Below are 17,374 nucleotides of genomic sequence, written 5' to 3' on the forward strand. Positions count from 1 at the left end.
TTTGAAATCATCCCATTTGACAGATGGCAGTCACAATTTTACTTGATGTATGTGAAGATGCTACCCAAAAGTTATCCAAAACTACGAGAGCTTTAAATGCTATTATTTAAGTGAGTTATCTCCATCTAGGGAAAAATATGCCTTTGAACTTGGCAATATGGCACATTCAAGCTAGAAACGACTTAGAAGACAAATAACAACTGCTTTTTTTTTTTTTTTTGAGACAGAGTCTGGCTCTGTCGCCCAGGCTGGAGTGCAGTGGCGCAATCTCGGCTCGCTGCAACCTCCACCTCTTGGGTTCAAGTGATTCTCCTGCCTCAGCCTCCTGAGTAGCTGGGACAACAGGCGCATGCCACCATGCCCGGCTAATTTTTTGTATTTTTAGTAGAGATGGGGTTTCACTGTATTAGCCAGGATGGTCTTGAACTTCTGACCTCAAGATCCGCCCGCCTCAGCCTCCCAAAGTGCTAGGATTACAGGCATGAGCCACGGTGCCCAGCCAATAACTGCTTCTTTATCAAGTGTGATACTGCCTTTGTTCAAGATCTGGAGACATTTAAAGCACATTCATTCCTTTTCATAACGAGCGACCATATTCTCGCTGCACAATGTCCCCTGATACCCCACCTTTCTTGGTGGATTCTCAGGGAGCTGTACCTTCATCCTCTGGCAGCAACAATGTTACCGTTGACAGAACAACAAAAATGCAGGTCAATGTGTTTAAAGGAAAAAGATTATTTGCTTTAGCTAAGGTGCTTTAGCATTGTAGTTTCCACTATTTGTACCTGGTTTTAACCATCCAAAATTATACAACAGCTGACAGTAATTCCCCAAACAAAAGACCTTTCCAGGCCTGAAGAACTCACAATCAAAAACTGAGATAACAAGTTATCAAGTGAAGTGCTTTATAAACATTAATACTGCCATGTGAATCGTAAACACTTGGACTTGCCTCATTCATGAGTTTTATTTTCTAAAGATGAAAGATGGTGTGCAATTTGGAAAAAACTCAAGAAGTAGGAAAAATGATCGATTTGACTTTGACAATTTACAATGTGTCAATATAGAAAGGGGGAAAATCTCTTGCAAATATGAAATGGTTAAGGTGGCCACATAACATTTGTAAAAATACTTGTGTTGCAATAGATATAGAATAATTTTCCTGTTACTGCACTATGATCACAGAGAGGTTTACGCACACTTTAATTTACCATTCTATAGTAGCTCAAGGCAGTAATTTTAGATTATGCTATTAAAGGTAAGTGCTCTCAGAGCTAAATTTTTGGCAAGATGTGCCCTCCCAGTTCCTTTATCCCTTTAGCAAGGCCAAACAAGGTCTCACTCTTAATGGCCTAGGCAACAGTGCCTTAAATGTTTAGAAGCTCCATTTCTACTAAGTGTGTTTTAATGCTCTTTATTGCCTCAAGGAGCTTTGTTTATTTTAACAGTTGCCACAGCAGTAGATAGGTAAACATTACTCCGAATAAGCAACTTTAAAACGAACTGACAAAACAGTTCTGTCGGTCCAGTAATTCTAGAAATCGTTTGTATCTTTAATAATTTTCTTTCTGTACGCTGAAGCAATTGATTGCTTTTAAAAGGACATTCTTTCAAAATTATGGTTATTTTATGAATAGAAAAAAAAGAGAAATAGCTACAAAGTGTTTACAATAGAGCAGGAAAAGAAAATTAAACAACCATAGATTTTTTCCTGAGGAAGCAAACCTGTCAAAGAAATGAGAGAAAGGAAAAAGGCTGTTATGTCACCTGATTCATTGTCTATCAGTGTAGAATTCTTTCCCCCATTATCTACTCTGTGTTTTACATCGGTTGAAACCGTAAATGTCTCAAACAGCGATGCTTTAGAGCAGCAGACAGTTGAGACAAGAACATTCTCTTCCTCTCCCCCTCTAGTCTCACCTCCGTGCCCACTGGCGGTCTTGTCCCAGGTGCTTCCTACAGAAAGTTACAAAAATTATTTCTTCAAGAAGGACAATGCCAGTCTCTCCCACCACCATTCAGAAAGGCAAGACATATGCTTACATACGTATTCTTATCACGTAGCACCTGTGTCAGATTCTTTATGCACACCAAAACGTGCTCACATATGTGTGACAGGAAAGGCGAATAGAGATATATTTCTTTTTTTTTTTTTTTTTTTTGAGACAGAGTCTCGCTCTGTCACCCAGGCTGGAGTGCAGTGGCGCGATCTCCGCTCACTGCAAGCTCTGCCTCCCAGGTTCATGCCATTCTCCTGCCTCAGCCTCCCGAGTTAGCTGGGACTACAGGTGCCCGCCACCATGCCCGGCTAATTTGTATTTTTAGTAGAGACGGGGTTTCACTGTGTTATCCAGGATGGCCTGGATCTCCTGACCTTGTGAGCCACCCACCTCGGCCTCCCAAAGTGCTGGGATTACAGGCGTGAGCCACCGTGCCCGGCCTACAGATATATTTCAAATAAGAAAATATGCTCTCCCATTTAGTCATGTTTTAACATTACATTTTTATTCTGAAATGTGTGAAGGCTGACAATGCTGCAGTGTGTCAGCACAACGCTGAACTGATCAGTCAAGTATTCCTCACACTTCAAGAAAGAGAAACACAGAAACATTGTATTCTACATTAATTTCATTAAATAAATTATTTAAAACAATGTGATTTTAGGGTAAAGCCTAAAGGAAAACAAGACTTTTACAAGATAATAGATTATAAGGACTTGTATTAGAAAATCATAACTACTACTCAATTTCCTAAAATTTTGAAACCAATCTAAGGAAAAAAATCCAGTAAAACCATCTTATTTATAAAGGAAAAAAGGCTTTGGTCTGAATTTTCTGCTTTTTCCAAACAACTGGAGATACTATTTGTAAACTATGAGTTGGAACAGATGATTACTAAGATCTTAGTTTGTTTTTTTTTGGCCATTAGTTTAAAAATTTGTTGCCTTTTAATTTAGTATACAAAGGTAGGATTCTGTTATCTATGTCAACATATACACTTATCAGATCAAATATTAGCAACAGTATTAAGCAGTATATATATAACTTCACATCATATATTAGTAACAGTACATATATAATTTCATATCAAATATTAGTAACAGTATTAAACAGTATGTCATATCAAATATTAATAACAGTATTAAAAGTTTCACTGAGTTTTCTAAATTCATCCTGATTGAATACAGTTTGCATAATTTTAAGGAAAGAATAGCAGTGCTTCTTCCTCCTTTGAAATATCTTTTAATATGCTCTTCATCATCTTACAAGTGCACCCATACAAAGTTGTACTTAAAACCCAAATCCTTGTGTTCAAGTTTGGCCATGTTTATCTTCCATAATTGTCTCTGATCTGACAGAATAGCACCACACATTGCCTCTCATAATTGCAAATGAGGAAATAAAGCTTTTATGCTCATACATAATTTCTTAAACTATCAGACAAATTATACTTGAAATTAGACCTATTTCATTATGAATATAAAGAGCCCTTCACTGAAATCCACAGTTCCTAAGCCTACCAAAATAAAACTTGCTCTCTTACCATTATGATGAATAAGAATAATTAGGGGGCCAACTGGGAGCTAAGAAAAGGTCAAATATTAAAACTGCTTATTAGCCTGCTCATCTTAGTGGCTTTGTCATCTATGGAAGTGAAGAGTTAGCATTTGTAGACTGGAGGACTTGGTAGCTTGCTTTGGTTTGTGTCATGGTATTTGCTGATTTAGAAATCACTAATCAGGCCAGGTGTGGTGGCTCATGCCTACAATCCCAGCACTTTGGGAGGCAGAGGCAGGAGGATTGCTTGAGACCAGGAATTTGAGACCAACCTGGGCAACATAGTGAGACCCCCATCTCCACACAAAAAAAGAAAAAACTAGCTGGGCATGGTGGTGCATGCCTATAGTCCCAGCTACTCTACATGGGAGACTGAGGTGGGAGGATTGCTTGAGCCCAGGAGTTCGAGGCTGCAGTGAGCTGTGATCGCACCACTGCACTCCAGCCTGTTTCAGAAGTTCTCTCTTTATAGATTCATAGAGATTTCAAGTTTGGGAAGTTGTTGCTCCATTTTCATTAATATCAGTACTTTTAAACTTTGAACCACTGACCTTGGTAGTTCTATATGTCAAAAACAGGTAGATACTAACACGTTCAGTTCAACATAAAATAAGGTGGGAATGGCTTACTAGACTGTGTTACAAAGTAGAGCATAAGTGTCATTTTTCATTTTCACAAACAAGAGAAATCAGTTTCAATCTTATTCAGTCCCCTGACATTCAAATGCCAAATGCTCATCCCTAAGCAACTGGAAACAGCAATGGAAAAAGGGGTGACAGCCAAGGCCACAATACACACACATACACGCAAAAACACATGTGCGTGCACACACACCCACACACACCCACACACACACACACACACACCACACACACAAAAACAAACATACACACACACAAACACATACACATATACACACCATACACACACATACACACACACTCACCACACACACACATACACACACCACACACACATACACACACACACTTGTATGGGCTTTATGTAAGCAGCAGTGGCTTTTTATAACAGGATTAATTTACTGCCTGCCATAGTTTCCTACTTTCAAGAACTTAGTAAAAATAGAATTTTTTGTAGACTTTTACTGTAGACTTTAGAATATTCTATATTATTCTTGGCAGCATCCGCCTTGGACTGAGGTGTGCATTAACACGAAAAGAAATCAATTCAACTAACTATAATGCAGTCCTATTTCTTCTATCTCCAGCACATGATGCGACCCAACATTACATCTTAACAACTAATACAGCCGTAAATTGATTAAAATTACTGTTTTATCTTGATGAATTTACTTTGACATTGTCTGCTTCTTCCTGGGAACATCCTCTTCCCTGACATATATGGAACTATCGCTTTTGCTTTCAAATATTTCTGTTGCTAGAGAAGTAGACACACCTTTTATGGCATGAATTCAGCCTTGGACTCTGTCTGGGGATTATGCTTATGATACCATACTAATGAGACACATGCGGCCTCTGACCACAGTGTGAAAACCTCGCTCCCAGAGCAACATCCAAATAGCAATGAATTGGATGAATGCCTCAAAATGAACCTCTTTTGCCAGATCTCTTCAGTCTCTACCTACTCAGAGTATTTGGCCTTACATTTCATCGAATCACAGAGTCTGTGTTACTGAGAATGGAGAGGGGTGAAAAAGAATCCTTGCAGGGACCAGTCTAAAGAGATGTTTCCCAGGCTGCCTCAGCCTTCTGCTCTATTACCCTTCTTTTCAGTCTACACCACAGCGTCATACCTTAGAAAGTTACGGTAGTTAAAAAATTGCTGGTGGCATCCTTTATTCAGGAAATTAGAGTAAGTATTCCAATAACATTTTTGAGCTCACTATAGGTGTTTCCATCAGCTCATGAACTTGAGATTGTTTGATTTTGTGATCACTAGATTTAAAAAATCTCAGGTCTCCTAAACCCAGGCATAGACGTTGTTTCACTTTCCCTGGCCCATCGTTCCACCATATATTTACGAAATGGTGCATAATATTTCACAACTCTCCCTGCTTTCTCCTAAAGTGAGGCTGCTTTGGTATCAGTGTCTACTTCCAAAAAGTAGGTATGACTCAAGAGCCCCTGTGAGTTAAGATGGATGGTTTAAGTCAAAATTCCATAGAGGCTAAGTTAACCTCCACAAATATCTTTGCTAGACCACTTGGCAAACTTTTACTGGGGGACAAGTAGGTTACAGAACCCACCACTCTTGGCCTATCACTTGAAAAAGTCAAGCAACAACGTACCCTTTTAAATGCACCTCCAATTCTAGCCAAACTCCCCTATTAGTGATTCCTCAAATATGTTTATCAACAGGTCCTAGGCCACTTTGGAACAGGAGCTGTTTCCTGTTCATTACCGATTACTCCAGTCTCTACTCCATTTCTGCACACAGTAAGCATTCAGTAAATATTTACTGAAGGAATAAATTAATTCCTGCCTGTTTCTTTGCCAACCTGGAATGCCCCCTGCCCAACAGTAAACCACAAATTCATAAGCATCCTTCAAATTAGCTCAAATGTTTGTCTCGTCTCTCATAATGCCCTCATAACCTTAAAGAAAAGTAACATTTTCTGAATGAAAAAGCATGTCTACCAATAAAGGAATAATTCAGTAAGGATTATCATGCAATGGGAATTCTGTGCAACAGTTACAAAGAATGACTGTTGCAGTGTGCCTGGGCATGGAACGATGTTCACAATGCAACAAGTAAAAAAACTAGGTTGTCAAATTGTTTATAGTAGGACTGACCTATTAGGTAGATACGGTCAATATCCACCATTTAGAGGAAGTTAAGGCTCAGAAGGATGCACACACTGTCCAGTGTCAAGGAAAAACTGGGAACTAATCCCAGTCAGGCTGTCTCCAGATCCCCACTCCTAACCACTCCACACTGCTACCTCTCTCATCTACACAGAAAACACCTATAAAAATAACAGACTATTAACAGTAGTTGCTTCTAAGAAGAACTGAAGGGAAAACTATGGCTTTTTATCTTTATCATGTTAAAGTTTTTCACGATGTCTATGTGTATATTTTGTATTTACAAAATAAAATTAAATCTAAGGAAAAAGTTGTCTCTTCCACCTCAGAATACCCATAGCATTTTGGTTTTAACACTCTTACAACATCATTACATATGGCCTTGTAGAATTTCACCATCTATACATGCTACTTCCTTGATTAGACTGTAACCCCCTTAAGAGTAGGGCTTTGCCACTGCTGTGTCCTCAGAGAACCTAGCATAGTGCCTTGCACATAATAAGCCTGTGATGATAGTGCAGAATGAATAAAGGAATAAAGGGGTTACCTTCCTTGGCCCTCAAAAACAGAGGCATCAGGCCAGGTGCGGGGCTCACGCCTATAATCCCAGCACTTTGGGAGACCGAGGCGGGCAGATCATGAGGTCAGGAGATCAAGACTATCCTGGCCAACACGGTGAAACCCCGTCTCTACTAAAAATACAAAAATTAGCCGGGTGTGGTGGCATGTGCCTGTAGTCCCAGCTACTTGAGAGGCTGAGGCAGGAGAATCGCTTGAACTCGGGAGGCGGAGGTCACGGTGAGCCAAGATGGTGCCACTGCACCCCAGCCTGGCGACAGAGCAAGGCTCTGTCAATAAATAAATAAACAAACACATAAATAAATAAATAAAGCAGAGATATCAGAGAAAAGTTATCACACCTGACCAATGGAGTCAACGTCCAATAGCTTCACCAAATTGGTTATTCTGCAACATACCATCTGGCTAACATAATGACATGGCTACAATAACAATATTAAAAAGGAATTTGATGAAAGTGCTGGAAAAATAATATTTGGGTAATAATTTCCACTTAGGCATCCAGAAAGAGGCAAGAAACAAGAAAGTTTCCTGAGTCATGAACCTCTTTCTGCCACAAGAACTTAAGCCCAGGGAGGTTCTACTGAAAGGCAAAGGTGTGTGAAGCTAAGCTCCAGGCCTTAACCATGTTTTTCTTACAAATACATTCAATGCAAATTCTGTTTAACCACAGCAGACACTTTGAGGCTTTGGTCAGCTTGCAGGGCTAAGAAAGATATTTATTAACCACATATACAAAGAAAGTGGAAAAATACACTTTCCAATGCCAATCATTAGGAAACATGGAAACTTATCGCATGAGTCCCAGTGGGCAGCCAGGAGAAGAGGAAATCAAAATTGTAATCCCAGTCGAGCAAGTCCATTGATATCCTAAGCCTCAAGGTAACTTCACAAAAATGGAACTAAACCATGTATAATTTTTTTAAACATTAATAAAAGCTAGTTCCATCAGAAGTGCTTAACTAACACATGGGATGCATTGCCATGATTTCACTGACCTCCTGAGCCATCCTGGGGCCACTTCTCAGCCAGAGGGACCGAGTTCCCAGTGCTAACCCAGCATGATCTGTGGGCCAGGCTTGGATGCCTAGCTTGGGGAGCTCTGTGCAGAGGGAAGCAAAGAAAAACTCTGAACTGAGACCAAAAGTTTCCCACTGGCCATTTGAAAGCAAACACACCCTACTCAACTCAACTTTTTTTTTTTTTTTTTTGAGATGGAGTCTTGCTCTGTCGCCCAGGCTGGAGTGCAGTGGTGCGGTCTCAGCTTACTGCAACCTCCACCTCCTAGGTTTAAGCGATTCTCCTGTCTCAGCCTCCCGAGTAGCTGGGACTACAGGCACATGCCACCATGCCCAGTTAATTTTTGTATTTTTAGTAGAGACGGGGTTTCACCATATTGGTCAGGCTGATCTCGAGCTCCTGACCTCAGGTGATCCACCCGCCTCAGCCTCCCAAAGTGCTGGGATTACAGGCGTGAGCCACTGCGCCCGGCCTCAACTTCAGTTCTTTTTCTTTCTCCTGCAGACAAAAATGGGGAGGAAAGTTTGAAAACTAAACTTTAACAGTTTGGGGTAAATTGCATGCTGCAGCTACTTTATCAGTAAGACCTAACATAGGAAATCTAATTAAGACTTTATATTGACAACTTAATTAGGATGGCAAGGGAAAGGAAATATGTATGACAAATACTAATTTTCTTCTACTCGAATATGTACCATTTTAAGGTTGTTTCATAGATACATATTTTTTTCTTTTTCTTTTTTTTTTTTGAGACAGAGACTTGCTCTGTCACCCAGGCTGGAGTGCAGTGGCGCGATCTCAGTTCACTGCAAGCTCCACCTCCCGGGTTCATGCCATTCTCCTGCCTCAGCCTCCAGAGTAGCTGGGACTACAGGCACCCGCCACCACGCCCGGCTAATTTTTTGTATTTTTAGTAGAGATGGGGTTTCACCGTGTTAGCCAGGATGGTCTCGATCTCCTGACCTCGTGATCTGCCTGCCTTGGCCTCCCAGAGTGCTGGGATTACAGGCGTGATGTTTCACATATTTTTAAAACTTGGTTAGCCCTTCCTTGGAACAAATGAATCCTGAGAAACAAATAATTCTTAAAGTTTTTTTTATCAGAAAAAGAACTAGAGTATATGTGTGTATGTGTGAGTGTGTGTTTCCTCTGCTATCATCTGGAACGTGTTAATTTTTGCTGCAGATTGCCCAGAATTACAACCCCGAAACCAAAGTAAAGCAAACTCCAATATTCTCGGTTTTCTTTAAAAAGTACACCCTGGGACCTCAAAATGCCTCTCTCCAGATTGTAATGAGCGACATTGCAAAGGAAAAGACCACAATTTGATTCTATCATATTATATTAAACACATAGGATGCAGGAATGCCAACTGCACCTGACTGATGGAATCGGCAGCATCCTTTGAGTAGGAGGTGGCACCACCTTTCACAGAAGTTGCCTTATGGATGTGGACATCACCTCTTGATTCTGCAGAGTTCACTTAGGCCGTTGCTTATGGTTCTGGGTGGCCCATGGGAATCCCATGCTAAGCATCCATCACCGTTCTCTACCTTTGCATACCTTGCCTGAAGCTGGTATAAAGACAGACTTCTCTTAGACAAATGTGAATATGCTGATTTTACAGATGAAGACTATAGGGCCAAATGACTTAAATGTTTTAACTTCATTTTATGTCCAGCTACTCTAAAAAGCTACTTTGTGGTTCTTTATGAAAAGAGGGAAATATTTGTATTCACTTAGAGGCCAGGATCAGAATTTCTCTCAGAAGAGGAACTATATTTGTTTGGATGTTTTCCTTGGTAAATTCTTGGCGTAGAATGAGAGATCCGAAGGAGTCCAGGTAAGGGCAGAAATGCTCTCCTCCAGGGAATGATGCTGGCTGTGGCTTGGGGAAATGGAGGGGAACTAGAGAGAGGAGAAGCCTGTACACAAAGGGGGAGCCACTCAGGTGGTGCCAGCCCTGCAGGGCACGGTGTGGGCTCTTCCTGTGGCATGCAGAACTTCCAAAGTTACTTATGAAAGGCTTGGTGCAGAGTCTGAGGGCACAGAGTTTTGCCTTTAATCCGATGTGAGGTAGAATCATTTAGGACACTTAGTAGGAATCCTCAGGCAGAAGACTAAGAAAATTTGCAGAAATTGTCCTGAGATCGGTAGGCTCTCCGAGGCTAGAGGCACAACTAAGGTTCAAGGAACAGGAAAGCTTCCATGTGACAGCCAGCTGTATACTTGTTTGATATCAAAACAACCAGTCTCTTTAGTCAATTTTAATTAAATAATCGATCAATTCAATTAAGAGAAAGGAGAGGGCCGGGAGTGGGGGCTCATGCCTGTTATCCCAGCACTTTGGGAGGCCAAGGCGGGCTGACCAACTGAGGTCAGGAGTTCAAGACCAGCCTGGCCAATATGGCAAAACCCTGTTTCTACTAAAAATACAAAAATTAGCCAGGTGTGGTGGTGGGTGCCTGTAATCCCAGTTACTCGGGAGGCTGAGGCAGGAGAATCACTTGAACCTGGGGGGTGGAGGCTGCAGTGAGCCAAGATCACATCATTTTACTCCAGCCTGGGCAAAAGAGTGAAACTCTGTCTCAAAAAAAAAAAAAAAAAAAAAAAGACAGAGAGAGAGAGAAAGGAGAGGCAGGAAAGGGACCCTACTTATTTGATATCTGGTATAATTAAATGTTTTCTTTATCATCCTTTGTTGAATCAATCAAATTTTGTAGGGCATGTGCCAGGTGCCACGGACAGTAACCTGCTAGCACTGTTAGGCTACAAGCCCTTCTTTCAGGTGAGTTCCAGTACAGTCCTGTGAAGTACGAACTGGCATCATTCTTCTTTCAGGGAAGGAAGAAACAGGAGATAAGAGAGATCAAGTGATCCCAGGAGGAGCGGGTTGTGTAGCCAGAATGCAAAGCTCCAGCCCTCGCCATGGAGGCCCCCTTTCCTCACCTCCCACGGGCTTCCTCCTCTCTCATCCCTCCCGCTTGAATCCATGGAGTTGGCTTGAGTGTGGATCCCTATGTGATTTGATTTGATTTACCCTTAGCAACTTTGATCCTGCTTTTGTTTGCTATTTTCTTTACCAAGAACTCCATTTCAACAGTTTCAGATGATAAAAACTCCACCAGACATCATCCCACCAGCACATTAGAACTTCTCAGTTGTGAATTTCAGGAGATGAGGTTTGAGACACGACAGAAGGAAACACTGCTCCCAGGATCAGCTTTCTAGTACACAAGTGTGGCCAGGCCCCTCCTTTGCCTCAACAAGTTGTTAGAGACTAATGGTAATAACAATTATTGCAGTAAACCGATTCTGTCACATATCAGCTGTCCTTATGTCAGACACTTCACACCATTTGGCTCTTTGGTTCATCTGCTTCACCTCCTTCACCTGGAAGGTGGCTGCCATGGAGCAGACCTGTGAAAAACAGCTGCTAAGTAAATAAGTGAATAACGGAATGAATTAACACATGAATATATTTGTTTCGTTTTCACAAAGTTCCACAAGGTATTGTCATTTTTGTTTTCAAGATGAACATAAGAGGACTCAGAGAGGATAAATATTTTGCCCCAAGTATTATCGGCAGCTAGATCTCCTAGATCACAGTCCCAAGAATCAAAACTGGACCAGCCTGACTCAATTTCAGACTCCTCCTGGTTCCTCACAGTGGCTCTCCCCAACCCCAGCTACCTGGCCCCAGCATTCCAGACCCTTTAAAATCTGGACAACCCATCTCTCACGCATCAGGCCTCATCACAACACAGACTCCAGTCACCTGCTTGCCCTTCCTAAGACACTCCAACATCTTTTATTCCTCCTTTCCTTTTGATGTGCTGCCTAATTTCCTGGAATATTTCTCCTCTTCCTTCCCCCTGTAACGTATCAGGCAAAATGCAGCTCCAAGCCCATTTGCTGACCAAGCTTCTCCACTCAGCCCTTGCTACATCCAACCCCTATTTAGGGGGCTCTTAGTACACACAGGTTTTAGTGTTTGATGTTTAGATTGTTCACTGGCAATAAACTAAAAGCCAGTACTCCTATCTTGATCAATTATGAAATGGATCTCCTAACCTTCCTTCCTCCTGAGTCCCCTTCTCCCTTATCTATTAAGGCTGCAATTTCCTAGACGTTAACTGGAAGCTAAATATGGAACACCAGATATCACTATGAAAATATAGAAAAAAAATTTTTTTTAAAGCTTACTTAAATTGTAATGCTTACTGGCACTCAAAAAGTGCTACTTTGGCAAGAAAGGAAAAAAAAAAAACGGAGAGAGTGGAAGAGAGGGTGGGAGAAAAAAAGGGAGGTAGGGGGTATAATGGAAACCCTAATGGTACATGTGGTCATCTGAAGCCTGTGTACTACCCAGGACAGACACTATAAATTAATCCTCCTTCATTTCCAGCATCGAGTACAATATCCTGACAGAGTGAGTCATCAATAAATATACGTTGTATGTAATTGAATTGACATGACTTACAAAAAATTATATTTATAATGGCATACAAAGAATTTTAGAAACTGATATATCAGCAATGGGTAATATTAAAATTATTGGTGTCATAAAAATTAATGTGAAGCTGACTTTTTAAAACGGTGTCTTATTTATCCTAATGATACGAAAATTCGACAGAGAAATCTCAAAACAGGGCCGGGCGCAGTGGCTCATGCCTGTAATCCCAGCACTTTGGGAGGCTGAGGCAGGCAGATCATGAGGTCAGGAGATCGAGACCATCCTGGCTAACACGGTGAAACCCCGTCTCGACTAAAAATACAAAAAATTAGCCGGGCGTGGTGCGGGCGCCTGTAGTCCCAGCTACTCAGGAGGCTGAGGCAGGAGAATGGCCTGAACCCGGGAGGCGGAGCTTGCAGTGAGCCGAGATCCCGCCACTGCACTCCAGCCTGGGCAACAGAGCGAGACTCCGTCTCAAAAAAAAAAAAAGGTTCTTTAAGTCTCAAAACAGGCTAATGAGACTGATAAATAAGTGCAAAGCATACAGGAGGAAAACTGTATTGTTATGAAATATCCACACAAATTTACAAATCTGTCAGGACTTATTCTGAAGGAATTGATAGATATGAAAAACACTACTATATTGTGATAATGGATCCCTGCTGCTCCAGCCAAACTTTCTTACAATAAAAAAGAGACACATAAATAATTTCGGGTTTTTTTTTTTAACAGGAAGAGGAGCTAAAAATGTCATATTTAAAGGAAACAGGATTTTTAATTCAAAACCGTTCCTCAACCTCCAAGGTTTTTTTCCGCAGAAAACAAAATGCCTGTCATGTATGTTTTAGATTAAAATGAGTGGCCAATCCCATGTGTAGCATGGCAAGAAATTGGCCAAATCCACCTGCTATGTTCTGAATGTTTGTGTCCCCCCAAAATTCCTATGTTGAATCCTAATCCTCAAAGTGATGGTGTTAGGTGGAGCTGTTGGGAGGTGATGAGGTCATACACGTGGAGTCCTTGTGAGTGGGATACGTGCCCTTATAAAAGAGACTCCAGGGGACTCCCTTTTTCCACCCTGTGAGGACACAGCAAGGGGGGCTGTCTATGAACCAGGAAATGGACTCTCACCAGACACTGAATCGGCTGGTGTCTATACCTCAGGCTTCCCAGCCAGAAGTGTGAGAAATAAATGTCTGTTGTTTATAAGCTGCTCAGTCTTTGAAATTTACTTACAGAGGCAGGAACAGACAATGACACCACCCTTAGTGTCATTTTCATCCCTGCACACTGTCAGATCTTGGATTATGCTAGCCCAGGGCCAGTCCACCTTCTCTGCAGGCAGCATCCCCTGTAACATAAGCATCTCTCTCCCAAGCAATGCACTTGGCTTTTCTTCATTTTAATCTAAATATATTTATCTGAGTATAGATAATAAAAATATTTTTCCTGTGCAAATGGGTAAGAACACAGTGTGGTTCTCAAGAAGCTTATGACCTCAATGTCCAGTGGGAAGATCAGCTTTAAGCTCTGGTGTTTCCTGTGAACATTGATAATTTTATTTCCCACCTTGTTTATGTGCCCCTTAACATCACCTAATCACTCTGCATTTTCCTTCCCTCCCTTATTCTTTCCCACAGTTTTTCATCAAGATCAACTAAAATCGTCATTTCAGGTTTTCACATGTGCTTCTGTCTACCTCCGTAACGTTTTCAACTTTCTCCAAGGGAAGCTACTCCAATGTTTGAATCAAGGCACGCCAATCAAGTGGGCTTGTGCACTGCACAGGCTGAGCACGGTGCCTGCCTTTCCTCCTGCCACCCTCCAAGCACTCACAGAACTTCAGGCACAACAGCCTGCTTGCAGTCCCTGCTGCTTTTGCTTCATTTCTGTTTCTCTGTTCACCTTCAAATGAAGAATGCTGCTTCCTACATTTCCTTTGTGATGCCACTCACATATATCCTTCAAGAAGTCACTGCTTGGACGCAGACTGCTGAGGGAGGCACTTCCTTGTCTCTGCTCCCCCTGGACCTTAGGCAGACCTCAATGTATACTTGGGACACTTGAACTATTTGGTTACAAGTCTTTTCCCTACCCCCACAATTATAAGCCCCTGCAGGCAGAGACTATGGTCTATTCATTCCTGTCTCCCCAGGAAATTAATGCAGAGGAGGTCCTGAAATGAATGCATGAAAAGTGGGTTACCAAGTCTCAGTAAGCAGAGGACAGAGCTCCCACTCTGACTCTCTTCTAAAAGCTGCTTTACTGAGGAAACATAGATGAAAAAAAAGTGCCACAACACATTTCTTAAATGAGAAATTCAGAAAATTCTCTGTGACTTCCTATTCATTGGATTTCTATTTTAAACAACACTTCACCTCTGCAATGCAGAAACAAGGGATATTCATAGGAGAACCCCTTAAGGTCCTAACATGCTCTGATTGAATTGTATTGATCAGTTTTCCTATGTTCTAGTTTTTTAAATTCTTTGATCACTAGCATTATTAATGTGTTAATTGTTTTCTTTATCAAATGTACCGTTTCTCACATCCAGGCAGAACACAGAAGGTTCCCTTAAATTGTGGGACTGAAGAGAGTGTAATGAAGGGGTGATATTGATTGGTGTAGTCTAGGTTTAGAAGAAGCTACAAAGGAGACTAGAGAACCACAGGGTTATCAACGGTGGCAACCATTAGCACCCTATCTCCCATCAACCCCCATTGGCTAAACCCAGTCAGAAGCCAGAAGGCAGAAGGGCATCTTAGTGCAACCCATACAGGCCAGCCTCATAACTCACACCAAGGGGGCTCATGGTCTGGAGAAGCAAATGGAAAATATCCAACCACAGTGACTGAGACTGGGGATGAAGACCAGGAGGTGTAAAGAAATGGACTCCAAATGGGAATTAGCCAGGTAACCATGCAAAGAACAGTTTAAATTACCATAGAAACCACTTTTCTAGTGTACTGTTTATCTATCAGTAACAGCAGTTATCAGTCTGTCTAGGGTTCGTATGTGCATGTGTGCATCCTCTTTACTAGTCAGGGGTCCTTACAACTGGCCACAGGTCAGAATCTTTGGGGCGGTCCCCTCCACACCTCCTGAGTCCAAATCCTCAGGAGTAGCACCTCAATGACTACATTTTCCCAAAGCATTCCAGGCAATTTAGATATGTATCATGGTTGATAACCACCCCCTAAGCTCTCAGGGCTCAATTCATCTTAATCTGTCTTGACAACAGAATGCTTAGGCTTATCGAGTAAGACTTAAAACCTGTTGCTGAATTCAGTTAACACAGGCGAAATCAATGTGTCATCAAGCACTTTCAACAGAAAAGATGTAATTGAGTTTAATAATTGAGCTCAAGGTATCATTCACTTCACTAAAAGATAAGCAACCAAGCAGTGATGACAGGTAATGTGCCTGCCCAAACTCTTGAAATTTGTTTTAAGAGATAAGCTTGTATAACTGAGTTTCAAATGAAGACAGGCAAGGAGGGCAGCCATTCCTCTTCCAAGGAATAAAACCTCCAACCGGCATTTCTGAACACTGTGTGGTAGGCACGCGTTAAATCCCCATCAACTCCATTACAGGATTTTCCAATTGAGCACACAATGTATCCAGCTGGTAGCACAAGATGTTGACAGACAGAGTGTCCATCTCCTCAAACATTCTGTCTTAGGCACAAATGCTTTGCAGGGGTCCTCAGGAGGAAAAGGAGACGCCACATCTGCAGTCTCTGAGGAGGTGAGTACAAGTCAAATACAAACCTCTTCCAGCTCTGTCCAACGAGCATTTCCTGTCTTAGCCCCTTCCTGCAGCCCTGACCTAGCCTCTGATAAAAGTCCAGGCCATTTCGAGGCCTATGAAGAGAACCGATTGATCTCACGAGTTTCTAATTCCTCTTCTCCTTACAGAGAAGGGAAGAGCATAAGAGTGTAATCAGAGATTCTAAAGTGGGCTTCACAGTATTGACCAGCCAGCAGGGCTCTTCTGAGAGAAGGGTAGGAAGGGAGAGCAGGAAGCCTGACAACCCGGATGCTGGATTCTGCCGGTTTCTGTGCCTCTTGCTCAGCTCAGCGCAAGGTTCCTCTTTTCTATGGATTCTCCATCACAGAGCATCTGTAACTGTAACGGTGCCTTTTCCTGGAACAAAACAGAGGTCCTCTCTGACCTTTGATAGGCTGGCTGCCAAACTTTATCTGCCAGATTAAATGACAAGAAAGAAATAAAAGAGAGAGAGAGAAGGAAGAAGGAGGGAAAGAAAAAAGGGAGGGAGGGAGAAAGGAATACAAACTGCTGGGCAAAAAAACAAAGTGAAACATAAGTATCTATATTTGGCTTTAAGCTCCGAAATAGAAGTGAATGAGAGGCCACTCAATGCAGGATGCACCAAATTTGACACAGTCTAATGGGTTTACAATACCCACTGACCAGACTGACCAAATGCTATGGAAACCTATTTCCAACCTGAAAGGGTAGGGGTGGTCGGTAGTGGGGAGGGCAAAGGAAGTCAATTACTTCTGGGCAAACTGCCCAGTAAGCTTAAAGTATAAATACAAGGCAAAAAATAAATGCACAACCATGTTATCTTTCCAATCAGATTTTCACAAACACATCCCCCACTTCCTTTAAGAGAAGGGCGATTCACGAGGTCAGGAGATCAAGACCATCCTGGCTAACACGGTGAAACCAGTCTCTACTAAAAAAACACAAAAAACTAGCTGGGCGTGGTGGCGGGCGCCTGTAGTCCTCAGCTACACGGGAGGCTGAGGCAGGAGAATGGTGTGAACCCGGGGGGGCAAAGCTTGCAGTGAGCCGAGATCGCGCCACTGCACTCCAGCCTGGGCGACAGAGCGAGACTCCGTCTAAAAAAAAAAAAAAAAAAAAGTAGATGTGGGGCACATTGCTCTTTAAAAAGCGGCACTGTACATTTGCATAGAGAAGACCAATTTGTAAAGATAAGAAATTCACAA

At 41.9% G+C, this 17,374-nt stretch overlaps 1 protein-coding gene across 11 annotated transcripts in view, besides 2 other annotated features; it reads right to left on the reverse strand.

Annotated features, from left to right (window-relative positions):
* Nucleotides 1-17,374, reverse strand: part of PIEZO2 (piezo type mechanosensitive ion channel component 2) — a 479,323-nt gene that overhangs the window by 403,398 nt on the left and 58,551 nt on the right. The window lies entirely within an intron of this gene.
* Nucleotides 4,149-4,318: a silencer, noted in NCBI's record as "silent region_9294". NCBI's record gives its function as "represses an Ori minimal core promoter by ATAC-STARR-seq in GM12878 lymphoblastoid cells {active_cell/tissue: GM12878}" and the evidence as "EXISTENCE:reporter gene assay evidence [ECO:0000049][PMID:35858748]".
* Nucleotides 5,239-5,318: an enhancer, noted in NCBI's record as "active region_13093". NCBI's record gives its function as "activates an Ori minimal core promoter by ATAC-STARR-seq in GM12878 lymphoblastoid cells {active_cell/tissue: GM12878}" and the evidence as "EXISTENCE:reporter gene assay evidence [ECO:0000049][PMID:35858748]".

The sequence above is a fragment of the Homo sapiens genome, chromosome 18 (assembly GCF_000001405.40).
Source record: "Homo sapiens chromosome 18, GRCh38.p14 Primary Assembly".
Lineage (NCBI taxonomy): Eukaryota > Metazoa > Chordata > Mammalia > Primates > Hominidae > Homo > Homo sapiens.